General features: G+C 53.6%; 2 protein-coding genes across 10 annotated transcripts in view, besides 5 other annotated features; one reads left to right on the top strand and one right to left on the bottom strand.

Annotated features, from left to right (window-relative positions):
- ENG (endoglin) overlaps window positions 1-1,047 on the top strand; it is a 39,643-nt gene extending 38,596 nt beyond the window's left edge. For 2 of the 3 annotated variants that reach the window (NM_001114753.3, NM_001278138.2), the window contains exons 14-15: window positions 10-120; window positions 257-1,047. In NM_001114753.3, the coding sequence (NP_001108225.1) occupies window positions 10-120; window positions 257-381 (236 nt within the window). In that variant the 3' untranslated portion in view covers window positions 382-1,047. Of the gene's footprint in view, window positions 1-9 lie in introns of all 3 variants that reach the window. The other variant, NM_000118.4, reaches the window with a different exon arrangement.
- FPGS (folylpolyglutamate synthase) lies at window positions 1,557-13,205 on the bottom strand. 7 transcript variants are annotated; one of them, XM_005251864.5, is made up of 16 exons: window positions 13,001-13,205; window positions 11,650-11,778; window positions 11,511-11,564; window positions 11,363-11,427; window positions 8,976-9,090; window positions 8,777-8,854; window positions 8,581-8,642; window positions 8,375-8,477; window positions 7,752-7,829; window positions 7,358-7,505; window positions 7,174-7,263; window positions 6,229-6,379; window positions 5,957-6,032; window positions 5,052-5,118; window positions 2,740-2,868; window positions 1,557-1,855 (listed from the first exon to the last, which is right to left on the bottom strand). In XM_005251864.5, the coding sequence occupies exons 1-16, from the start codon at window positions 13,136-13,138 to the stop codon at window positions 1,836-1,838; spliced, it is 1,503 nt and encodes a 500-aa protein (XP_005251921.1). In that variant the 5' UTR covers window positions 13,139-13,205; the 3' UTR covers window positions 1,557-1,835. The 7 variants fall into 7 exon arrangements, 6 of the variants coding, with proteins under 6 accessions (XP_005251921.1, XP_047279083.1, NP_004948.4 ...); XM_047423127.1 differs by lacking the exon at window positions 13,001-13,205 and adding an exon at window positions 12,659-12,882 and having other exon boundaries at window positions 11,650-11,919; NR_110170.1 differs by lacking the exon at window positions 1,557-1,855 and having other exon boundaries at window positions 1,982-2,868; window positions 8,976-9,071.
- Window positions 5,302-5,944: an enhancer, noted in NCBI's record as "H3K4me1 hESC enhancer chr9:130572398-130573040 (GRCh37/hg19 assembly coordinates)". NCBI's record gives its function as "activates a minimal SCP1, AML or CMV promoter by ChIP-STARR-seq in naive H9 embryonic stem cells {active_cell/tissue: H9 hESC(naive)}" and the evidence as "EXISTENCE:reporter gene assay evidence [ECO:0000049][PMID:30033119]".
- Window positions 5,945-6,588: an enhancer, noted in NCBI's record as "H3K4me1 hESC enhancer chr9:130571754-130572397 (GRCh37/hg19 assembly coordinates)". NCBI's record gives its function as "activates a minimal SCP1, AML or CMV promoter by ChIP-STARR-seq in naive H9 embryonic stem cells {active_cell/tissue: H9 hESC(naive)}" and the evidence as "EXISTENCE:reporter gene assay evidence [ECO:0000049][PMID:30033119]".
- Window positions 6,589-7,231: an enhancer, noted in NCBI's record as "H3K4me1 hESC enhancer chr9:130571111-130571753 (GRCh37/hg19 assembly coordinates)". NCBI's record gives its function as "activates a minimal SCP1, AML or CMV promoter by ChIP-STARR-seq in naive H9 embryonic stem cells {active_cell/tissue: H9 hESC(naive)}" and the evidence as "EXISTENCE:reporter gene assay evidence [ECO:0000049][PMID:30033119]".
- Window positions 12,945-13,344: a silencer, noted in NCBI's record as "silent region_20313". NCBI's record gives its function as "represses an Ori minimal core promoter by ATAC-STARR-seq in GM12878 lymphoblastoid cells {active_cell/tissue: GM12878}" and the evidence as "EXISTENCE:reporter gene assay evidence [ECO:0000049][PMID:35858748]".
- Window positions 19,091-19,180: an enhancer, noted in NCBI's record as "active region_29053". NCBI's record gives its function as "activates an Ori minimal core promoter by ATAC-STARR-seq in GM12878 lymphoblastoid cells {active_cell/tissue: GM12878}" and the evidence as "EXISTENCE:reporter gene assay evidence [ECO:0000049][PMID:35858748]".

Genomic DNA, 24,460 nt, shown 5'->3' with positions numbered 1-24,460 from the left:
CCTCTCTAGGTTGCACAAGCAAAGGCCTCGTCCTGCCCGCCGTGCTGGGCATCACCTTTGGTGCCTTCCTCATCGGGGCCCTGCTCACTGCTGCACTCTGGTACATCTACTCGCACACGCGTGAGTACCCCAGGCCCCCACAGTGAGCATGCCGGGCCCCTCCATCCACCCGGGGGAGCCCAGTGAAGCCTCTGAGGGATTGAGGGGCCCTGGCCAGGACCCTGACCTCCGCCCCTGCCCCCGCTCCCGCTCCCAGGTTCCCCCAGCAAGCGGGAGCCCGTGGTGGCGGTGGCTGCCCCGGCCTCCTCGGAGAGCAGCAGCACCAACCACAGCATCGGGAGCACCCAGAGCACCCCCTGCTCCACCAGCAGCATGGCATAGCCCCGGCCCCCCGCGCTCGCCCAGCAGGAGAGACTGAGCAGCCGCCAGCTGGGAGCACTGGTGTGAACTCACCCTGGGAGCCAGTCCTCCACTCGACCCAGAATGGAGCCTGCTCTCCGCGCCTACCCTTCCCGCCTCCCTCTCAGAGGCCTGCTGCCAGTGCAGCCACTGGCTTGGAACACCTTGGGGTCCCTCCACCCCACAGAACCTTCAACCCAGTGGGTCTGGGATATGGCTGCCCAGGAGACAGACCACTTGCCACGCTGTTGTAAAAACCCAAGTCCCTGTCATTTGAACCTGGATCCAGCACTGGTGAACTGAGCTGGGCAGGAAGGGAGAACTTGAAACAGATTCAGGCCAGCCCAGCCAGGCCAACAGCACCTCCCCGCTGGGAAGAGAAGAGGGCCCAGCCCAGAGCCACCTGGATCTATCCCTGCGGCCTCCACACCTGAACTTGCCTAACTAACTGGCAGGGGAGACAGGAGCCTAGCGGAGCCCAGCCTGGGAGCCCAGAGGGTGGCAAGAACAGTGGGCGTTGGGAGCCTAGCTCCTGCCACATGGAGCCCCCTCTGCCGGTCGGGCAGCCAGCAGAGGGGGAGTAGCCAAGCTGCTTGTCCTGGGCCTGCCCCTGTGTATTCACCACCAATAAATCAGACCATGAAACCAGTGATGGGTTGGGCTGGGAGAAGGGCAGTGACATTCAAAGCCAGGGTGGGGTGAGGGCACAGGACAGGGCTGCTTTTGTAGTTGGCCCCCACTGGGCTGGCCTGGTGGCAGGGGTGGCATCCTGAACAGTAGCAGCATCCAGGGCACAGCAGGTTTTCATTCAGCCAGTTCCCCTCTGCCATTCACCCACTCGACAGCACACCCCAGGGTCTAGGCTGCAAGAAAGCAAACACCAGGAGGCCCCATCCACACTCTCACTCTGGGGTTCCGAACACAGGCCCTCGACTGCTCTAAGTTCAAATCCTGGACCTGCCACCTTGTTGGCCTGTGACTGTAGGCAGGTCCCATGGCTTTTTTTTTTTTGAGATGGAGTCTTGCTCTGTCGCCCAGGCTGGAGTACAGTGGCACTATCTCTATCTCAGCTCACTGCAACCTCTGCCTCCCAGGTTCAAGCAATTGTCCTGCCTCAGCCTCCCGAGTAGCTGGGACTACAGGCATGCGCCACCACGTCCAGCTAATAATTTTTGTATTTTTAGCAGAGACGGGGTTTCACCATGTTGGCCAGATGGTCTCGACCTCTTGACCTCATGATCCGCCCGCCTCAGCCTCCCAAAGTGCTGGGATTACAGGCGTGAGCCACCGTGCCCGGCCTCCATGGCTTCTTGAAACCAGCCACAGTTCCCTCGTCTGTCAAATGTGTATAATTCTCCATCACAAGGTCTCTGCAAGGGGGTCTGCAGAAAGCACTGCCTGGCATATGGTGAACAGGCTTCAGTCTGGTCTTCTTCTCATCTCACAGACAGGCCACCTGAGGCGCACAGGGAGGGAGGGACTTGTTCCAGGCCACACAGCCAGGCTCCCTCTACACAGTGCAGGTCCCTGACCACCAGCAGCCCCTCCCTCCGTCTCTGCTGAGGGAGCAGGGGGTCAAGGGTCAGTCGAAGGCTTTGCCATTTCTTTAAAAAACAAAGGCTTTAATTCACTCCAGCCACCCTCTGTCCCGCAGTGTCCCAGGCAGAGGCCCTCTCCCTTCCCAGAAGGCACTGGGAGGAGGAAATCTACCACCCAGCACATGGCAAGACCCAGGGCCTGGCCAGGCAGCGCACACAATAAGCTGGGCCTGAGCCAGGAGGCAGGCGGGGTGTTGGGGGAGACAGGCTGAACGGCCAGGCCACTGCAACAGTGAGAGACCCGGGGAGCCCCTCTGCTATCTCAGCCAAGAGGAAGGAGAGACCAAGGCACAGAGCCTTAAAAAAGACATCCTCTCCCGGCCTCCCATCCCAAAGCCCTGGCCCCTAGGCCAGTCTAGACAGAACCAGGAAAGCCAAAAACAAAAGGCACCTAGTATGTAAGTTCATGGGGAGAACGCAGGCAGGTGTGGGAAGCTCCCACCTCCAACCCCGGGCCTTGGCTACTGGGACAGTGCGGGCTCCAGCAGCTTCAGGACACCACCCACCAGGTGCAGGCTGCCAGTGACTAGCACATGGATGGCAGCAGCCTCACGGAGTATGCTGGCCCCACTGTGAGCCACAGGGTGGGTGAGGAGGCCCTTTGGGGGACTAGGTGGCTGGAAGATGGGGTCTCGGCCTTGGCTGATCCATTGCAAGGCATGTGAAATGCAGCTGAAGACGAGGGAGCTGGCACTGCAGGTGTGGGGTGGGTGGGGCGCCAGAAGCAGGGATGCGGACCCACCGGGCTCTGGGCTGGGGGCACTCCAGAGGTCCGGGCTGGCCTGCTCTTCGTCCAGGTGGTTCCAGTGCTGCTGGTGTTCCAGGCAGCGGAGCAGGACCTGGTCCAGTGTCACTGTGAAGTTCTGTTGGTCTGTGGGGCACAGAGAAAGGCCTATCAGCGAAGGGGAGAGGGAGTAAGGGACAGGGGTGGAGAAAGGGGCGGGTGCACCGTGAGCACCTGCTTCGCACCAAGCCTTTTACGTCATCAGGCCAGCAGTCTCGGCTAGTGGCCTTCTCCATGCACACAGTGAAGAAACTGAGGCTCAGGCAGGTTCAGTGACTTCACCAAGGTCACGAGAGGCAGAGCCAGACAGTCTGACTCCAAAGCTTTTGCCCACTAGGCACCCCTTCCCCACTCTGGCCTCATTGTCTCCATCTATAAAATGTACATCCAGCTGGGGACCATCACCAGGTGAGCATAGTTATTTCTGGGGATGCTGGTTAAAAACGCAGATTCCAGGCTGGGTGCAGTGGCTCACACTTGTAATCCCAGCACTTTGGGAGGCCGAGGCGGGCGGATCACCTGAGGTCAAGAGTTCAAGATCAGCCTGGCCAACATGGTGAAACCCCGTCTCTGAAAAAAACACACACACACAAAAATTAGCTGGACAAAAATTAGCCAGGTGTGGTGGCACACGCCTATAATCCCAGCTATACTTGGAAGGCTGAGGCAAGAGTATCACTTGAACCCGGGAGGTGGAGATTGCAGTGAGCTGAGATCAAGCCATTGCACTCCAGCCTGGGCGACAGAGCAAGACTCCATCTTATAAACAAACAAAAAACAAAAATTAGCCGGGTGTAGTGGCGTGCACCTGTAGTCCCGGCTACTCACGAGGCTGAGGCAGGAGAATCATTTGAACCTGGGAGGCAGAAGTTGCAATGAGCCGAGATGGCACCACTGCACTCCAGCCTGGGCAGCCTGAGTGACAGAACGAGACTGTCTCAAGAAAAAAAAAAAAAAAATGCAGATTCCAGAACTCTCCCCAACCAGACTGATGTGAGGACTGGAGATTTTTTATTTTTAGAGAGGGTCCAGGGTCTTGCTCTGTCACCCAGGCTGGAGTGCAGTGATGCAATCACGACTTCATGACTCACTGCAGCCTCCACCTTCCAGGCTCAAGCGATCCTTCCACTTCAGCCTCCTGAGTAGCTAGGACCACGGGTGTACACCACCACACCTGGCTAATTCTTCTATTTTTTTTTATAGAGATGAGGTCTGGCTTTTAACTCCTGAGCTCAAACGATCCTCCTGCCAAAGTGCTGGGATTATAGGTGTGAGCCACCAAGTCCAGCCTGGGATCTGTAATTTTTACACTATTTCAAACTTTTTTTAACATGATACATGGTAAAAAACACATTTTACACTGCAACTCAGTACTCACATACTTATACATATGCCTGGAACAGACTAATCTTCACCAAACAGGACCTACCCTTACTCTGTGCAACGTACACTGGTATTTTCTATTCTACTCTATTTCATATAAAATAAAAAATGCTGGCTGGGCGTGGTGGCTCACAACTGTAATCCCAGCACTTTGGGAGGCTGAGGTGGGTGGATCATTTGAGGCCAGGAGTTTGACACCAGCCTGGCCAACATGGAGAAACCCTGTCTCTACTAAAAATATAAAACTTAGCTGGGCATGTTGGCACACGCCTGTAATCCCAGCTATTCCAGAGGCTGAGACATGAGAATCATTTGAACCTAGGAGGCAGAGGTTGCAGTGAGCTGAGATTGTGCCACTATATTCCAGCCTGGGGGACAGAGTGAGACTCTGTCTCAAAAATTAATTTTTTTTTTTTTTGAGACAGTCTCGCTCTGTCGCCCAGACCTAGAGTGCAGTGGCGCGATCTCGGCTCACTGCCAGCTCCGCCTCCCGAGTTCACGCCATTCTCCTGCCTCAGCCTCCTGAGTAGCTGAGACTACAGGCACCCACCACTACGCCTGGCTAATTTTTTGTATTTTTTTTTTGTAGAGACGGGGTTTCACCATGTTAGCCAGGATGGTCTCAATCTCCTGACCTCGTGATCTGCCTGCCTTGGCCTCCCAAAGTGCTGGGATTACAGGCGTGAGCCACCGTGGCCAGCCAAAAATTTTTTAAAATAAAATTAAATAAAGTATACTTTGGTGTATAAAAGAGTATAAGTACACTAAAGTGTTCTTACACAGTAAAACAAATTTATTTCCTACCCCAAACCTCCAGTTTGGAAGCCCCCACTGTCTACCTCAGGGACCCCTGCTCATCCCCAGGGGCCATGCCTGTCACCTCTCACCTGCGTTGCCTGTGGATGACACCTCTGTCAGGTTAGGGCAGAAGACGGCATAGTCAAACTGGCAGGGCTAGAAGGCCAAGGGAAAGACTTGGTGTCAGACCCCCGAAAGGATGTCCACCAACTTCCATATGGCCCCCTGCGCCCACATCTCTGGAGATGCAGCCTCCCTGACAACTAGAATGATGCTGTATAAACCTAGCCAAGGTACTTCAGCACCCTGCCCCCATCTGCCTCAGTATACCCTGCCTGGCCTGTGGCCTGAGCAGCGAAGCCCCAACCTACTGTACAGACAGGGGAACAGTGGCCACAGGGCAAGGGGACTTGCTGAAGGTCACTCAGATAGTGAGGGGGCCCCAAATCCAGGCTGGAAAAAGGCTGTGGGTAAATGGGAGAGGTTCTGGATACAGCCTCAGCCTCCTGGTCTGTGAAATGGGAGATGATACCTAGGGGCCACTTCAGCCCTGACAGCTTGGGCAGCCTCAGTTTCCCCAAGCAGAGAAAGGCCCAATGACTCCTTCAACCAAACCTGAGAAGCGGGTGCCCCTAGCAGCAACCCCATTTTACGGAGAGGCAAACTGAGGCTCGGGGAAATGCCGCTTCTCGTCCAGGGTGATATGCTAGTGCCTAAAGGGGCATGACAAGCGAGTCCAGAGTCTACACCTTTAGCCACGATCTGGCCCTCCTCTTAAGCCTGGACTTGAGTCTAGACACGCGGGAATATGAGTAATGACCTATGACTGGCCTCCCCACGGCCCTGCAGCACCTGGCAGAACCAGCACAGGCACCTTGTCACATCTAATCCTCAATACAACTCAAGGGGGAGGGGATTGGCACCCCCCAGGGTCACACCGCCAGACCCAGGGCTTCAGGACTGCCTGCCGCCCACCCCCAAGTTGGCCCCTCACCTGCAGCAGCTTCAGCAGGGCCGCCGGGTCCCGGTCCCCGGTAGCATTGAAGAGCAAGACTCGAACCTCGGGGCCACTGCGACAGAGGTGAGGAGCTGGGTCAAAGGGCGCCGCCCGTTCTCCCTGCGGTACCAATCCCGTCCCCGCCCACGACCCCGCCCCTCCCCATGGGCCCGCCCCCGCCCTTCCCCACGACCCCGCCCCGCCCTTCCCCAAGATCCCGCCCCTCCTCGTGGGCCAGCCCCGGCCCCACCCCCAGCCCTGCCCCTCACCCGCTCGGCCTCTCGCGGCCCTGCAGCGCCTGGCGGAACCAGCGCACGCAGGCCTGCGCGCTGCTGGCGGTGTGCGCACCGTCCAGGTACCAGGTGAGGGGCCCGCGCCGCAGCACCTGCGTCCGGCCCGGCCACTCCGTGTTCCGAAGCCCTGGGGGAGGGCAGCAAGGCAGTCCTCCAGGCCCTCTCCCACCCCCGTCCTCAATTCCGCACACACACTCCTGAGCCCGTTCTCCCCTGCAGGCTGCGCCCGCCCTCAACACTCAGGACCCCGGCAGCCCAGGAACTTTTTACTAGCACCAGTCAATGGCTTGGGCTTTTCGGCTGTCTCATCTGGTGGAATCTTTCAGGCAACCCTGAAAGGGCCTGCTATTCCCGTTTGACAGCCTGAGAGCCCTTAGCTGGGGCCGGGATGTGATGCGAGGTCGGTTTGTCTCCAGGACCTTGTCACTTGCCCTTGATAACAGGCGTGGCACACAGCGGGCCCACCATTTGCTGAAGGGGCTTAACAGCATGAGCACCTGCTGGGTGCTGAAAGCTTTGGGGGAGGCAAGAAGCAGATGACTGGATCACCATCCTCCAGAACCTCAGGGTCTGATGATGATGATAGTGACAGTGACAGCAGCTACCACTGGCTGGCACTTTATCCCACATTGGCCAGGCTCTGCACTCAGCACCTTAGTGATGTCACCTCAGCGAATCCCCACCACAGCCCGTGGCAGTGGCTCCTATCATCATCTACTTTGGCAGATGAGAAGACAGGCTCAGAAAGAGTTCATGAGCTCAAGGTCAGGGAGGTTTGCTGACATCAGAGTCCTTTCTCTTAAGCACCACTTCAAATTGTCTCTTATCTCCCAAACAGAAAACCAAAAAAAAAAAAAAAAAAAATCTGAAGGGGCACAGACACACGCAGTGGTCCCAGCTGGGCAGGAAGGTCTAACTCACCGAGCCGCATGTGGGATGTGGGCTGGAACACAGGTGCCAGGGGCAGCTGCCACAGGAGCCCTGGCCTGGATGCCTTTGGCTCCCCAGCACCTGCGGGGTGTGTGAGACCAAGTGTGTCCGGGACCCTCCTAGGCAGGCTCCACAGGTGCCACCCACCTGCCTGCCCACTCAGCTGCCCACTCACCATGGCGGTCCTGCCGCTGCAGCCAGCAGTGGGCCAGCTGCAAGGCCAAGGCGGCGTTGGACCGCTGGTGCTCCCCCTCCAGGCCCAGGGTCAGCGGCGGCCCCCCTTCCTCGAGGGCCTCCAGCATCGGACACAGGTATAGAGGACACTAGGGGAGACAGGCAGGAGCGGGTCAGCAGAGGCCCTCCCTGACCACGTCAGCCCTTGCATCTCTCCCCTCCCCCAGCCACCAAGCCCTGCTCCCAGAACTGAGATGTGTTCCAGCAGGCCTGGCAGCTGGCCCAGCGTCCTCACTGCACAGATGGGCAAACTGAGGCCCCAGAGGATGCAGTGCCTCCTCAAACAGGAGGGACACAAACCCACCCTGCCGCTGCCCCATTCCAATCAGACTTACTGAGATCTGCTGGGCTCGGTCCCTCAGCACTGCCAGGGGACCTTCAGGTTGGAGCACAGTGAAGGCAGGGACACCTTGCTGTGGAGGGAAGAAGGAGAGAGAAAGGGCTACCTAGCATCCTCCACACTCCTATCTCTGGCCCCCACATCCCTGGGTCTGGGCTACCACTGTCTCTCATCCCTCATGTTTCTTTTCTTTTCTTTTTCGAGATGAAGTCTCACTCTGTCACCCAGGCTGGAGTGCTGTGGCGCAATCTCGGCTCACTGCAACGTCTGCCTCCCGGGTTCGAGTGATTCTCCTGCCTCAGTCTCCCAAGTAGCTGGAACTACAGGCGTACACCACCACACCTGGCTAATTTTTGTATTTTTAGTAGAGACAGAGTTTCCCCATATTGGTCAGGCTGGTCTCAAACTCCGGATCTCAGGTGATCCTCTCACCTCGACCTCCTGAAATGCTGGGATTGCAAGCATATAAGCCACCATGCCCAGCCATCCCTCACGTTTCAATGGGGAAATAGTCTGGAGAGGAGACTCAACTTGTTCCAGTCACACAGTGAAGCCAGGATGAAAACGTAGACTCCCAGGCCTTCCATGTCTCTCCCTTCCCCCAGTCTGCCTGGTCACCTTAAAGATGCCCCCTTTCTGCCATGCGATCTTCTCCACCGTATCCCCCAGGAGGCTGGTGTGGTCGATGCCAAGAGAGGAGACTCCGCACACCACAGGCTTCCTGCAGGGGAGGAAAAGGCCATGAGGCCCTGCCCTGAGCCACCAGGCGGCAGGTGAGGCTGTGCTCCTGGCTGCCACCCCTCGTCCCAAGCAACTGCGCTCACCTGATGATGTTGGTGCAGTCATAAGCCCCGCCAATGCCCACCTCCACCACTGCCAGGTCCACCTGTCAAAGACCAGAGGGCATGGCAGGGGATATGAGGGTGCCCAGAGGCCGCATGGAAGCAGGGAGCCCCCAGGCCTGCTGAGGTTCCCGTTCCCAAGGCCTCAGATGCAGGGTTCTAGGGAGAGGGCACACACCTTCTCTTGGAGGAAGACGTGGAAGGCCATGAGTGTCAGGAAGCGGAAGTAGGGGGGCATGGAGACACAGCTGCCATCCTGTGGCACAGGGACATGTCAGGGCCCAGAGCCCATGCAGCCCCTTCTCTGGGGAGATGGGGTGCTGGAACACGTAGCACCCCCAACCATACCCACCCGCCAGCCCTCCTGCATGCGGCACCTTGGTCTCCTCCAGCCGGTGGTAGAGGCGCCAGAAGTACTTGGTGAAGAGCTCAGGACTGATGGGCTGCCCATTGATGCGGATCCGCTCCCGAACCTGCACCAGGTGGGGAGAGCTGCCGGGACAGCTGGGGTCATCAGGACTCCCTTCCCGAGCGTCCTGGCCTTCCCCCACCCTGCAGGGACTGATGCTACTGGCCTCCGTGCCTCATCTCTCCTGTGTCCCTCGGTTTGTTCCTGGTGCCCCATCCCCCCGGACTATCTGTAGCCCCCCAGTCCTCCCCATCTTCTATCTCCAGGCCTCTGCACCTGGCTCACCCTATTCACCACGTTGGTCTCAACTAAGACAGCCTCCTCACCCAGGCTGGTCTTGCACATTCTATGGGCTCCAACAGTCCCATACCAATCAGTCACTCTGCTGACATCTGTCCCACAATGTCATCTGTCTTACAGCTCTCAGAGACAAAGCCCACAACCAATGTTCAAGCTGCAGCCCTGGGCTGGCCCTCAAGGCCATGTGGGCCCAAGTTGAAGGCTAGGTTTTTATCCCAAAAATGATTGTAGTTTTTATTTATTTATTTTTGAGACAGGGTCTTGTTCTGTCGCCTAGGCTGGAGTGCAGTGGTGCAATCTTGGCTCACTGCAACCTCTGCCTCCCAGGTTCAAGCGTTTCTCATGCCTCGGCCTCCCAAGTAGCTGGGACTACAGGCACACACCACCACGCCTCGCTGATTCTTGTATTTTTAGTAGAGACAGGGTTACGCCATGTTAGCCAGGCTGGTCTTGAACTCCTGACCTCTGGTGATCCACCCACCTCAGCCTCCCAAAGTGCTGGGATTACAGGCATGAGCCACCGTGCCCAGCCAATTTTTTGGTATTTTTAGTAGAGATAGGGTTTCGCCATGTTGGCCAGGCTGCTCTTGAACTCCTGGCCTCAAGTGATCTGCCTGCTTCGGCCTCCCAAAGTGCTGGGATTACAGGCATGAGCCACCACGCCTGGCCCAAAAAGTGATTTTAGAAGACAGGTTGGTGCCTTATGTTTCAATCCTCAAAGCTACTCAGGTAGTAAGTCCTCCTCTCCATCTCTTTATTTGAACAAGAACTGTTTAGGGAAAACATATCGGCTTGAAATGACCTTAGGCAGCTGATTTCAGAAGTTCGTGGTGATGGGCTTAGAAGACATGCGTGGCACAGGAAGAGTGATCCCGGTTCCACCTGGCCATCCTCTTGTGTAAGTCTAGACAAGTGAGACCAAGAGGGGGCGCTGCCCCAGGGCAAAGCCACAGTGGAGAGTGGCCAAGCAGAAGGGCTCCTATCTGCAGCCCGCCTAGGAGACCTTAACGTGGATGGCACAAGCCACCCTTATCGTTTAAGCCCTTGCAAGGCAATTTTCTCCTTACTCTAAAGACATACTAATTGATAAATATCTCTATGTGATTTTAAAGTTATATATGGACTTTAAAATTTTTTCTTTTCATTTTTTTTTTAATAGAGATGAAGTCTCACTACGTTGCCCAAGCTGGTCTCAAACTCCTGAGCTCCAGTGATCCTCCCACCTTGGCCTCCCAAAGTGCTAGGATTACAGTTGTGAGCCACCACACTCAACCTGGACTTTAAGTTATTAAAGAGACATCTGACCATCTGACTATTCCAGCTATGTAATTTTCTTTTTTTTTTTTAAGATAGCAGTTTGCTCTGTCGCCCAGGCTGATGTGCAATGGCATGATCACTGCTAACTGCAGCCTTGACCTCCCCAGACTCAGGTGATCCTCCCATGTCAGCTGCCCAAAGTGCTGGGATTATAGGCATGAGCCACCACACTGGACCTCCTGCTACATATTTAGTTTATACATTAAAGTTGCTGCCCCTTCCCCAATTTTTTTTTAATTATGAAAATTAAGGCCAGGCACCGTGGCTCACACCTGTAATCCCAGCACTTTAGGAGGCCGAGGTGGGCGGATCACTTGAGGTCAGGAGTTCGAGAACAGCCTGGCCAACATGGTGAAACCCCATCTCTACTAAAAATATAAAAATTAGCCTGGTGTGGTGGCAGGTGCCTGTAATCCAAGCTACTTGGGAGGCTGAAGCAGGAGAATTGCTTGAACCTGGCAGGCGGGGGTTGCAGTGAGCCAAGATCGTGCCATTGTACTCCAGCCTGGGCGATAGAGTGAGACTCAGTCTCAAAAAAAAAAAAAAAATTAAAGGTTGCCATAAACATGGGCCAATATGGTAAGTGCTAACTGAATGTTTATTGAATGAATAAACACTGGGCAGAGAGACATGCAGCTGACCTCCTGGGGGTGACCCTGGTCCTGAAGCACTGGCTGGTTCCATAGCCCCCCAGGGTCCATTGGGACACAGACACCACATCCCCCCACAAGCCAGTACCTAAAGAATCCCGTCTTCAGGCCATAGCTTCGGAGGATACATTCCGTGAAGGCACAGGTGGAGCCCTTGAAAGAAAAGGGATTGTCTGGGCAGGCTCTACTCCACCAGCCACTTAATAGACCCCCTACCCCAGGGTCCTGCCCCTCACCTTCCCCTTCGTCCCAGTGACGTGGATGATGTTCAGCCGGTCCAAGTCCTCCACCTGGGACAGACAGACAAGGTCCCTGCCTCAGCTACGGGAATCACAAATGGGGGTGGGAGGTGGTCACAGGCCCTCTCTACCTTACCTGCAGCCCACTCCGTGCCAGGTACAGTTCCATGGCTTCCAACTGTGTCTGAGGGTCACCCCGCTGGCGCTTCACCTGCTCCAGGTAGCCGGCATTGGTCTGCAGGGTATTGAGCATGCGCACGGCATCCTGGCAACCACAGTGCCCAGATAGTAGGTTAAGGCTCACTCAGGGTCCACAGGCACAGAGACAGCCAGCAGACCAGTGGCCAAGCCAGGGCAACAAGGCCAGTACCAGGCCCGCCTGCCATGCCAGCACTGTTAGCCTAGCCTGTAGGTTAAGCAACAGAGAGTATGGCATCTTTCCAGCTCTGGCAAAAATGGGAGTCTGGGGCAGTTCAGCCCCACCCAGGGAGTGCTACACAAAGAAGGTGGCATGACTAACGGGCTAGCCTTGCTTCCTGCCCAGGCTCCCCCGACTTCACTCCTGGGCCTTTGCCCTCATTCTCTCCAATGGGGTCCATTGCTATATTGCTCCCTGCCAGAGCGGGGCCAGAACTACAGAAGGCTGGGGTATTCGAATTCTGGAGTTCCCCGAAGCTCCACCCCAACCCTCATGACTCTGGGGTTCCACATTCCAACCCACAGAGGAGCAACTCAGAGGGAGGAGGGGTGTGCCAGGGGTCACTCAGCCAGGAAGGCAGGTAGGTACGGCTTCAGGAGGGTTCACAATGGAAGTGGGAGTGGGGGTGCTATTTCATTCCCCTTAGGCCTCATATTCCGTGCCTCCCACCCTCAGGACCTCAAGGCTGGTTGGAGGCTCCACCCTCATCAAACCAGTGCCACCCGCCTCACTGGCATCAGGGTCTGGTCTAGGGCAACCGGCTCTTGACACAGCGCCCGCGGACATTTTCTATTTTCCAGGTTCTGGGGCCCTCCACTACCCCTGATTCCTGCCTCTCCCCCAAATCCAGGCACTTGGATCCCCAATCTTCTGAATCCTGGACAGCCCACCCCCAGATCAATACTCCTGGATCTTTCAAGCCTGAATTCCTGAGTCTCTTCCCTACCCTCTTTCCCCACTCTCACTGCCGGTTCAGACTCCGGGATCACTGGAACTCCAGAAGCACCGCTGAGCCTCTGGGCTTCTGGATCCTAGCTCCTGTGCCACTTCCCACTTCCCAACCCGGGGCGGGGACGCTATAGTCTCCGAATTCCCAGCCCCGGCGGCCCGGGCCCAACTTCCTGGTCCCTGTCCCCACCCCCAGCCTCCAGGATGTTCCGCCCCCCGAGTCCCCCAGTCCAGGGCTCCCGATACCCTCTCGGCTAGCGGAGCCCGGATGTTCTGCGGCTCAGCGCAGGCCCACGTGTCGTCGCGCCCAGGCCCGCTGGCCCGCTGGCCCGCCTGATACCTGGTACTCCATGCTCGGCTCCTGCGGCACCGGCCACGCGCTCAAGCCCCGCCGCGCCGCGACCTGGGTCGTTATGCCGCGCGCAGACGCCGCTGCCAGGAATAGAGCGGCGCGCAGGTGGCTCCGCGCCCGCGACATAGTCCCGGCGCCCCCGGCAGCGCTCTAGGCCCGGGCGGGAGACGCCCCGCCCCGCCCCCAGCCAATCAGCGCAGCGTCGCCTCACCCCGCCCCCCCCGCCAATCAGCACCGCCCCGCCCCGCCCGCCATCAATCAGCACCGCCCCAAACTACCACCGACCAGCCCCCTTGCGCCACTAAAAAGCCGCCCCTTCCGCGTGCACCATCCTGGTGAGGGGCAGGCCTCGGGACCAGGTTTATGAGTGTACGCTCCGGGGCGTCCCCTCCCTTAGCGGGCACGCACTCCTTTCGTCACCAACCTCCCAAGGCCCCCCGCAGCACGTCCCAAAATAGCCGGTCCGGGTCAGCAGCCCTCAGTCTCTGCCCCGAACAGGGATAGGATGACAAAGCTGCGGACACCTGGTGGACACCTCTAAACAGCTGCTGCCGTTTAGAGAACGGATTTGAGGGCCACCTGGGGATGGTGGGGCAGTAATCCTTTTCTGTGAGGAGGACACCTATTTGTCGTCCTGGAGTTTTCAGAGCTTTTTCCCATCTATTAGCTTCTTGGCCCCAACTGCTAGCATGAAAAAGTTGCATGGTGAAATCCTTTTGACAGCTGAGGCCCAGAACTGGGGAGGAGGAAGCTGCAAACAACCCACTACGGAAAATCAGTCTGATAAAAGGCAGCCCTTCAAATGATTGATGGAGTTTCCGTACCTCCTTCCCCTCTCCCTCTTCCCAGCATTGGGAGAAAATATTTATGAGAAATTGTTTGATTTCGAAATAAGCAAGTGATGTTTTGGGAAGAGTCTGTCATTGGCTGGACTTCTGCTCTTCACACACTGCTGGGGTGCCCCGACCCTGGCCCCATGGCAGATAGAGAAGTTCTTTCTTGGTTTCCTTATTTTTAGTCATTGAAACTTTCTCTATACATATGCATGTATATAGTTTAATGACTGCATAAAAATAATCAAGAGACTGGACGCAGTGGCTCACGCCTTGTAATCCCAACACTTTGGGAGGCCGCAGCGGGTGGATCATGAGGTAAGGAGTTCGAGACCAGCCTGGCCAAGATGGTGAAACTCCATCTCTACTAAAAATACAAAAATTAGCCGGTGTGGTAGCAGGAGCCTGTAATCCCAGCACTTTGGGAGGCCGCAGTGGGTGGATCATGAGGTAAGGACTTCGAGACCAGCCTGGCCAAGATGGTGAAACTCCATCTCTACTAAAAATACAAAAATTAGCCGGGTGTGGTAGCAGGCGCCTGTAATCCCAGCTACTCGGGAGGCTGAGGCAGGGGAATTGCTTGAACCCAGGAGGCAGAGGTTTCAGTGAGCTGAGATCACACCACTGCACTCCAGCCTGGGTGACAGAGCAAGACTTTGTCTCGAAAATAATAATAATAATAATAATAATCATGAGGCTTTAAATATTTTTATTTTGCTTACTCCCTTCCCCCTTCCCCCATACACACACACACACACACAGTTCCTCCTCTGGCAATCCTGTTGACGACTAAGTATGTGTCCCATAGTTTTCTATGCTCATGAAACCAGACACACCTAGACATCTATAGGGTCTTGCCAATGCAGGTGACAATATTTTTGCATCTTAGCTTTTCAAAAATGTTTATTTTTAGAGACAGGGTCCCAATCTATAACTCAAGCTGGAGTGCAGTGGCACAATCATAGCTCACTGCAGCCTTAAACTCCTGCCCTCAAGCAATCCTCTCACCTGGGCCTACCAAAGTGCTGGAATCACAGGCATGAGTCACCATGCCTGGCTGCAACTTAACTTTCTTACTCAATGACAAGCTTATTATTTTTTTAAGACATTTACTTAGCAAACACTTTTTTTTTTTTTTTTTTGAGATGGAGTTTTGCTCTGTCACCCAGGCTGGAGTGCAGTGGCGCCATCTTGGCTCACTGCAACCTGCACCTCCCAGGTTTAAGCAATTCTCCTGCCTCAGCCTCCCAAGTAGCTGGGACTACAGGTGTGTGCCATCACACCCGGCTAATTTTTGTATTTTTAGTAGAGACGGGGTTTCGCCATGTTGGCCAGTCTGGTCTTGAACCCCTGACCTCAGGTGATCCACCTTCCTCGGCCTCCCAAAGTGCTGGGATTACATGCTTGAGCCACCACGCCCAGCCCTTCGCAAACACTTTAAGTAGTACCTTTCTAGATTCAGACACTGCTATAAACACTTCTGACACAGTTGCTCATTTAATCTTCATCACAAACCCATGAAATAGGTACTAATATTATCATATAGGCCCAAAGGAGTAAAAGCATATGCTCAAGTCACAAAACCAAGATTTGACGTCTGGCCCCAGAGTCCTTATTCTTAGCCTCTGCGCCTCCTTCCCTGTCTCCCCAGGGACACTGCTAATTCAGCGTCTTTAATGGCCGTATGGCCTTCCCAGGAGCATCCTGGATTCGCCTGTGGAAGGGCATTCATTCTGCCTTCAGTGTTTTGCTGCTATGGATATGCGTTTACGTCGAAGGGCTTGATTTCTGGGAGTTGGATTGCATGGAGGGGTGGGGTTGGGTCCAGGGATGTTTGCAATCCTTTTCCCCAATGCTGCTGTAGTCTTGGCATCCCAGCAGCTGTGTGTGAAGGAGGCACCCCTCTCCCAGGATGCCCCCAGACCACAGGGTGCAGAGAACCATCTCAGTGTTTCTGTCATTCCCCTGCTGCAGTGAACTTGAGTATCTTCCCATGCATTTATGTCAGTGAACTGCCTAACCCATCCTTGGCCCATTTTTCTAATGTCTGATTCGCTTTTTCATGTCAGTTATAATAGCCCTTTGTGGGCTGGGTGCAGTGGCTCACACCTGTAATCCTAGCACTTTGGAAGACTGAGGCGGGAAGATTGCTTGAAGCCTAGAGTTCTAGATCAGCCTGGGCAACATGGTGAAACCCCCTTCTCTACAAAAAGCAAAAATTGCTGGGCATGCTGGTGCACATCTGTGGTCCCAGTGATTTGGAGGCTGAGGCAGGAGGATTTTTTTTTTTTTTTTTGAGACAGAGTCTCACTCTGTTGCCCAGGCTGAAGTGCAGTGGTGCAATCTCGGCTCACTGCAACATCCGCCTCCTGGGTTCAAGCAATTCTCCTGCCTCAGCCTCCCAAGTAGCTGGGACTACAGGCATGTGCCACCATGCCCAGCTAATTTTTGTATTTTTAGTAGAGATGGGATTTCACCATGTTAGGCAGGCTGGTCTCAAACTCCTGACCTCAGGTGACCCACCCGCCTCAGCCTCCCAAAGTGCTGGGATTACAGGCGTGAGCTACTGCGCCCGGCCAAGGAGGATAATCTGAGCCCAGGAGTTCGATGCTGCAGTGAGCTATGATAGCACCACTGTACTCCAGCCTGGGTGACATAGCGAGACCCCCATCTTTTTAAATAAATAAATCAAATGTTTAAAAAGTTAAAAAAAAGAAAAAAAGGCACTTTGTGTAGTACTGATATTATCCCTCAGTTTCTGTCCTCTGTAGGGCAAGTATTTTTTCCAGATCTACTATTGGTGGCCTCAGTGGACTCATCTGTAGGAGGTGGCATAGGTGCTCTAAGCCATTCCTCCAAGAATGAGATCCCAGAGCCGGAGTCCCTCCTGTGGTGTAAGGTGGAAAGCCTGTCCACATTGCTGGAAAAAACACTTTTTCTTATGTTTTCTTTTTAAATTCTGGTATTTTTTGGATAATATATCATTCAAATAGTTCAAAGACTGGCTGGGCGTGGTGGCTCACGCCTATAATCCTAGCACTTTGGGAGGCCAAGGCGGGTGGATCACTTGAGGTCAGGAGTTTGAGACCAGCCTGGGCAACATGATGAAACCCCGTCTTTACTAAAAATACAAAAATTAGCCAAGCTTGGTGATGCGCACCTGTAATCCCAGCTACTTCGGAGGCTGAGGCACAGGAATCACTTGAACCTGGGAGGCGAAGATTGCAGTGAGCCAAGATTGTGCCACTGCACTCCAGCCTGGGTGAAAGAGCAAGACTCTTCTCAAAACAAACAAAAAACAACAAATAGTTAAAGGGTCAAAACTGTGTACAGCAAAAAGCCTCCCTCTCTGGGAGCCCAGATTCCAGCATCCTAATCCTTCTCTCTCAAAGCAGTCAATGTTATCAGTTTCTTATCACCTTTCCAGAGGTATGTTATGCATTTACAAGCAAATACAAATATATATTGATTTCCCTTTTATACCCACATATAGCAGCAGACTGTAAGGCAAGCCTGCCTTGTACTTTCTCCATGTCCCTTTTTAACCAGGGCCCTATTCTGGGCTGTGTCGGTACATAAGGGCCACTCCGTTGGCTAATTTGTTTTGAAGCTGTGTAGTACTCCATGGTGTGGAAGTACTACTGTGTATTCAGCCAGTTGCCTATTGATGGACATTTGGGTTGTTTCCAATATTTTGCTATCACAAGCAATGGATAATATTTTACCCAAGCTACAGTGGGTAACATTTTACCTTCATCATTTCTTCCTTGTGTGGGTTATTTCATGGATAAATTCCAAGTGCAATTGCTGGGTCAAAGGTGACCTGCACTTGACATTTTTTTTTTTTTCTGAGACAGAGTCTCACTCTGTCACCCAGGCCAAAGTGCAGTGGTGCCATCTCGGCTCACTGCAACCTCCACCTCCCAGGTTCAAGCAATTCTCCTGCCTCAGCCTCCCAAGTAGCTGGGACTACAGGTGTGTGCCATCACACCCGGCTAATTTTTGTATTTTTAGTAGAGACGGGGTTTCGCCATGTTGGCCAGTCTGGTCTTGAACCCCTGACCTCAGGTGATCCACCTTCCTCGGCCTCCCAAAGTGCTGGGATTACAGGCATGAGCCACTGCGCCCAGCTGACATTTTTATACACATGGCCACATTGTCCCCCAGAGGGGTACAAGTTTCCCCGACTTCAGCAGTGCATGAGCCAGCATTTCCTCACATCTTCAGCAACACAGCCAGCTTTGATCCTTGCCAATCGTAAGGTGGAAAAATGGATTCTCTGAGTAGTTATCATTTACATTTATCGTGAAGGAGGCTGAACACTTTTTTTGTGTTTAACAGCCGTTTGTGGCCGGGCACAGTGGCTCTTGCCTGTAATCACAGTACTTTGGGAGGCTGAGGCGGGTGGATCACCTCAGGTTCAAAATCTGTCAACATGGTGAAACCCTGTCTCTACTAAAAATACAAGTTAGCCAGGTGTGATGGCACCTGCCTGTAATCCCAGTTACTTGGGAGGCTGAGGCAGAAGAATCGTTTGAACCTGGGAGGTGGAGGCTGCAGTGAGCCAAGATCGCACCACTGCACTCCAACGTGAGGGACAGCAAGACTCTATCTCAAAAAAAGAAAAAAAAGCTGGCTGGGCGCAGTGGCTCACACCTGCAATCCCAGCTCTTTGGGAGGTTGAGGCAGGTGGATCATGAGGTGAGGAGTTCAAGACCAGCCTGACCAACATGGTGAAACCCCATCTCTACTAAAAATACAAAAATTAGCCAGGCATGGTGGTCCGTGCTTGTAATCCCAGCTACTAGGGAGGCTGAGGCAGGAGAATCACTTAAACCCGGGAGGCAGAGGTTGCAGTGAGCCCAGATCGCGCCACTGCACTTCAGCCTGGCCGACAGAGTGAGACTCCATCTCAAAAAAAAAAAAAAAAAGCTGTTTTGTTTCCTTTACAGCCCACTCACCTCCTTTGTGGCTTTTTACTTGAAAAGCCACAAATATTTATAGAAGGAACTAGAAGAAACTGTAAACGGAAAAATCAAAGGGATCTTCATCATGCAGCTGGAGAGGGAATCGCCGTTGGCCTTTTGGTGACCACGAAGGCACTGCGTTCTCTCTCTCCAGGAAGAACAATAGAAAACAAAGGGGGCAGGGGAACCAGTAAGTGGGCCAGTGCCCACTCATGCGGGCAGATCTGCAGGTGCGTGTGGACAGGAGGAGGGGCTGGGGTAGGAGCAGACTGAGGAACTCTGCCTCAATCCCCACCTTCCCACAGGGAAACGATGTCATTCATTCACTTATTCATTGGAAGAAATTATCTCTGCCAGACCCTGGACTAGATGCTGGGGTCACTGTGGAGAACAGAAGACAAGGTACTGCTCACAGAGCACCCAGTCCTGGGGGTGAGAGGGCAGCAAATAAAGAAATTCACAAAGGAATATACAGATTTACAAACCCTGATCAGGTCAGATGGTAACCACTGTAGAGTGGCAGGCTAAGGCTGAGAGAGAGACAGACAGAGTGGGTCAGGTCTTTCTGAACTCAGATCTGCCTGGGATACTACACTCTCTCCTGCCCCGTCATACACTTGGGATTAATAAAACCCACAAGTTCACTGTGGCCTGGTCCCTGCCTGCCTCTGGACTCATCCCCCACTTACAGGGCACAGTCCCTGCCAGCTGGCAAGGACTTCAGCAACTGGCCTTGGCCTCTCCCACCTGCAAGCTTTTGCTCGCGATGTTTGCCTCTGCTGAAACACCCTTGCCTTGTGTTTGTCCTCTTTCCTTTTTTGGGGTGGGTTTTTCTTGTTAACATTTATTAAGTAGGCACTCGGCTGGGAGCAGTGGCTCACACCTGTAATCCCAGCACTTTGGGAAGCCACGGTGGGTCAGTCGCTTGAGGCCAGGAGTTTCAGACCAGCCTGGCCACAACAGTGAAACCGCATCTCTACTAAAATTACAAAAATTAGTTGGGCCTGGTGACACACTCCGGTAGTCCCACTACTTGGGAGGCTGAAGCAGGAGAATCCCTTGAACCAGGGAGGCGGAGGTTGCAGTGAGCCAAGATGGCGCCACTGCGCTACAGCCTGGGCAACAGAGTGACAGAGTAAGACGCTGTCTCAAAACAAATAAACATTTATTAAGCACTTATCCCTGTGTTTGGCACCTGGAATCTCATGAAAATTGTGTGAATTACAGATGATCCCTATTTTACAGGTGGAAAAATGGAAGCTCAGAGAGGTTAATCAACTCACCCAGGAATACAGCAGGCACATGGACGTGGCAAAGCCGATTCAAACCCAGATTACTGACTTTAATGTTGGTCCTTGCACCTTACCACCACCTGTCTGGTCACCCTGGCCCTCTCTGCTGTCGAACTGCTGTGTGACCATGGGCAAGACACTTCCCTCTGTGATCCTGTCTGACCCCTAGTCTCCTCTTTAGGAGGATGAGGATTTTTTTTTTTTTTTTTTTTTTTTTTTTTTTTGAGACGGAGTCTTGCTCTGTAGCCCAGGCTGGGGTGCAGTGGCGTGATCTCAGCTCACTGCAAGCTCCGCCTCCCGGGTTCATGCCATTCTCCTGCCTCAGCCTCCGAGTAGCTGGGACTACAGGTGCCTGCCACCACGCCCGGCTATTTTTTTGTATTTTTAGTAGAGACCGGGTTTTACCGTGTTAGCCAGGATGGTCTCGATCTCCTGACCTCGTGATACATCCACCTTGGCCTCCCAAAGTGCTGGGATTACAAGTGTGAGCCACCGTGCCCGACTTTTTTTTTTTGTTTGTTTTTGAGACAGAGTCTCACTCTGTTGCCCAGGCTGGAGTTCAGGGACCTGATCTCGGCTCACTGCAACCTCCACATCCCGGGTTCAAGAGATTCTCCTGCCTCAGCCTCCAGAGTGGTTGGGATTACAGACATGCGCTATCATGCCCGGTTGTTTTTCTTTTTTTTTTTTTTTTGAGACGGAGTCTCGCTCTGTTGCCCAGGCTGGAGTGCAGTGGTGTGATACCGGCTCACCGCAACCTCTGCCTCCCGGGTTCAAGTGATTCTCCTGCCTCAGCCTCCCAATTAACTGGGACTACAGGTGCCCACCATCACGCCCGGCTAATTTTTGTATTTTTAGTAGAGACGGGGCTTCGTCATCTTAGCCAGGCTGGTCTCGAACTCCTGACCTCATAATCCACCAGCCTTGGCATCCCCAAGAGCTGGGATTACAGGCATGAGCCACCGCACCTGGCCGTCTTACCAAAATTTTCAGAGGAAAAAAATGTGGGATCTTTTTTCAATTTGTTCTCACCCTCCAAGCATGCTGGGTGCTGCGCTGAGCCCTGTGAGGGGCTGGCAGCATCGCCCCCAAGAAACTGAGGCTTAGACAGGAAAGGCCACCTGCCTGGTCACCGGGTTCTCCTACCTGGAAGGAGGCAGTTTTAGCTGAGGAAGGATATCCAGATGGGCCCTCCATGGTTCCTTCCCACCAGAACTTCTCAGCCATGGGCAAGGAGGCAGCCAGGGACCCAGCACCTTTCATCCCTTGGTTTCCTGCTCCCCTTCTGGGTAGGGCACGAAGTGACGCACAGGTGTGGGCATCTCTGCCAAGCCAGCTCTGCCCAGGATTTAACTAGAGCTGTGAGGCTTGTTGACCCAGAAAACGTGATTTGGGAGACGCCAAGGCCTCCCCTCCCCTGACAGGACTGGGGGCAGAAGTTCTGGCCTTTCCAGTGTGCAGGGAGAAAGGTTTTACCTGATAGGTTCCTGCCCTCATCCTAGGGTCAGCCCAGGGACTTAGCCTCCCTGGCGGGTTTCTGGAGTGGAGCATGGGACTGGTCAGAACCTTACCGCGAGTTAAGTAACAACTGGGTGGAGGTTAAAGGTAAGCACGCAGACAGGCAGGTGGGTGGGAGGGGAGGGGGCTATGCTTGGGAGGCTTCCAGACCTTGGGGCTGGCTTTATCTGGCCTCTTCCAGGCCTCCTTATCCCAGCCCACCCACCTTACAGTTAGGGCCCGTTTTGCCCTTGCCCTGCCAGGGTGAGATCCTGGCCAGGGAGAGGCGTATACAAAGTACAGCGTGGACACACGACACCCCTGACTTAAGAGTCCAAGTCCGCTGGAGGAAGAGGCTTTGTTTCACCAAATCACTTGGGCAAAAAGAAGCCAGGTAGCCAGGAGTGGGTGGCAGGCACCTGTAATCCCAACTATTCGGGAGGCTGAGGCAGGAAAATCACTTGACCCCAGGAGGAGGAGGTTGTAGTGAGCCGAGATCACGCCACTGCAATCCAGCCTGGGCGACAGAGCCAGACTCTGTCTTAAAAAAAAATAATAAAATAAAAATTATACTGAGGTGGAGTTAAACTGTAACATACTTGATTCCCTCAGCCCTTTTTGGCTGTTTTACTATAGTCCCTATTTTGATTGTTATGCTAATATTTGTGGAAAGAGATCTTGTATTTGCTGAATCATAATCACATCAGTACTACTTTGGCTGGTTTAAGTACAAATGAATAAAACCACCATTTTTCCTTTAAAAAAAAAAAAAGGGCAGGATGTGACTCCAGGCTCTTAAAAAACAAACAAAAAGCCAGGACACAGAACTCAGTCCCCCGGCCTAAGCTCATCCCCGCGAGCTGGCGAAGGCCTTTCCCATCTACACAGCCTCCTCAGCCATCTGTTCACTGCACTCACTCCACTGTATCCCAGAGACTCATGTGTGCCAGGCACTATCTAGGTGCTGAGAACATGGTGCCAGGCACTATCTAGGTGCTGAGAAAAGCCGCACAAGGCCCTGCCCTCTGGCGAGCCTTTATTCCAGGCGACATACCTCCCTCCACAGGTGAAAACAGCACCCATGTCACACCAGAGCTTGAGGCCAAAGCTAGAGAACCCTCACCTGACTGGCCAGTCCCTGTTCCTCCCTGGGGTAGACTCTGGGGAAGAGGGGTGAGGATGAGCTTGGGTCAGCAGCTCCAAGGTTTAAGGTCTGTCTTGGTTGTTTTAAAATGCAGCTTAATTGGCTGGGCCTGGTGGCTCACACCTATAATCCCAGCACTTTGGGAGGCCAAGGCAGGAGGATCCCTTGAGCTGAGGAGCTGGAGACCAGCCTAGGCAACAAAGCGAGACCCCCATCTCTAAAAAATATATGTATTTTTAAAAATGTTAGAAAATGAAAAGATGGCTTAATTGCATGAACAAATGTATTAGTTAACCAACTATGAGGAAACACTGAGAAACATAACCACACACTCTACAAAGCTCCCTGGCCCTTGGCACTTGGACCCACACCCACACCCCACAAAGCCTTGTCTCTTGATTTCTGCTTCCATGTCATGCTGACCCCCTCAGCTCCCCACTACTTTTCCCCTTACCCCACTTTGTTGTTTTCCATGGAACTCAATCAAACCAGTTTAGACCTACTGGAAGGTGAGCTCCACTGGGGTGGGGGCGGGCCACCACTGTTTCCAGCTGTATTAAGTCCCGAATGGGATGACCCTTGGAAGACACACCTAATAAATATGCTCAATGAACGAATGAGACCATCGAAATTGCAGTGAGTGTTCAATGAGATAAAGACTATCATTGTGTAATTGCTCTTAAAAAATTCCTGTAAGTGGAATTGCTGAGTCAAAGAATATGAACCTTTTAGAGAAGCTTTTTATCCTTCAAAGAAAATACAATTAGGCCAGCCCTGTGAGTTTATCCACACTCAATTCCTAGTGACTGCTGTCAGGACAGCACACAACAGCTTTAATTTCGATTTTTTTTTTTTTTTTTGATAAGTCTCGCTCTGTCGCCCAGGCTGGCATGCAGTGGTGTCATCTCAGCTTACTGCAATCTCTTGCCTCCTGGGTTCAAGCGATTCTCCCACCTCTGCCTCTCAAGTAGCTGGGATTACAGGCATGCGCCACCATACCCGGCTAATTTTTTTTAGTAGAGATGGAGTTTCACCATATTGGCCAGGCTGGTCTCGAACTCCTGTCCTCAGGTGATCCACCCACCTTGGCCTCCCAGTGTTGGGATTACAGGCCTGAGCCACCACACCCAGCCTGGATTTTTTTTTTTTTTTTTTTGAGACGGGAGTCTCGCTGTCACCAGGCTGGAGTGCAGTGGCACGATCTCAGCTCACTGCAACCTCCGCCTCCCTAGTTCAAGTGATTCTCCTGCCTCAGCCTCCTGAGCAGCTGGGACTACAGGCATGTACCTGGGACTACAGGCGTGCACCACCATGCCCAGCTAATTTTTTTTTTTTTTTTTTTGAGACAGAGTCTTGCTGTTGTCACCCAGGCTGGAGTAGTGGCTCAATCTTGGCTCACTGCAACCTCCGACTCCTGACCTCGTGATCCGCCCGCCTTGGCCTCCCGAAGTGCTGGGATTATAGGTGTGAGCCGCTGCGCCTGGCCAATTTGGATTTATTTGACTACTTATACTGGGTTGAAGTGTGCCCCCCGAATTCATGTCCTCTCCAAACCTCAGAATGTGACCTTATTTGGAAAGAGGGTCTTTGCAGATGTAATCGGTTAAGATGAGGTCAAACTGGGTTAGGGTGGCCCCTAAATCCAGACTGGTGTCCATACAAGACAGACACATAGGCCGGGCGTGGTGGCTCATGCCTGTAATCCCAGCACTTTG

Source organism: Homo sapiens, chromosome 9 (assembly GCF_000001405.40).
Source record: "Homo sapiens chromosome 9, GRCh38.p14 Primary Assembly".
Lineage (NCBI taxonomy): Eukaryota > Metazoa > Chordata > Mammalia > Primates > Hominidae > Homo > Homo sapiens.
Note: the sequence above shows the minus strand (reverse complement) of the source record. Positions and strands in the feature narration are given on the sequence as shown.

Bases quoted from the DNA above. Each gene is read 5' to 3' on its own strand.
- FPGS (NM_004957.6), bottom strand. From the start codon at position 13,138: ATGTCGCGGGCGCGGAGCCACCTGCGCGCCGCTCTATTCCTGGCAGCG. The intron at 8,478-8,580 runs GTGAGCGCAGTT...CCTCCCCTGCAG, and splicing joins GACTGCACCAACATCATCAG to GAAGCCTGTGGTGTGCGGAG. The intron at 6,033-6,228 runs GTGAGGGGCAGG...CCTCTGTCGCAG, and splicing joins GGCCGCGAGAGGCCGAGCGG to TGGCCCCGAGGTTCGAGTCT.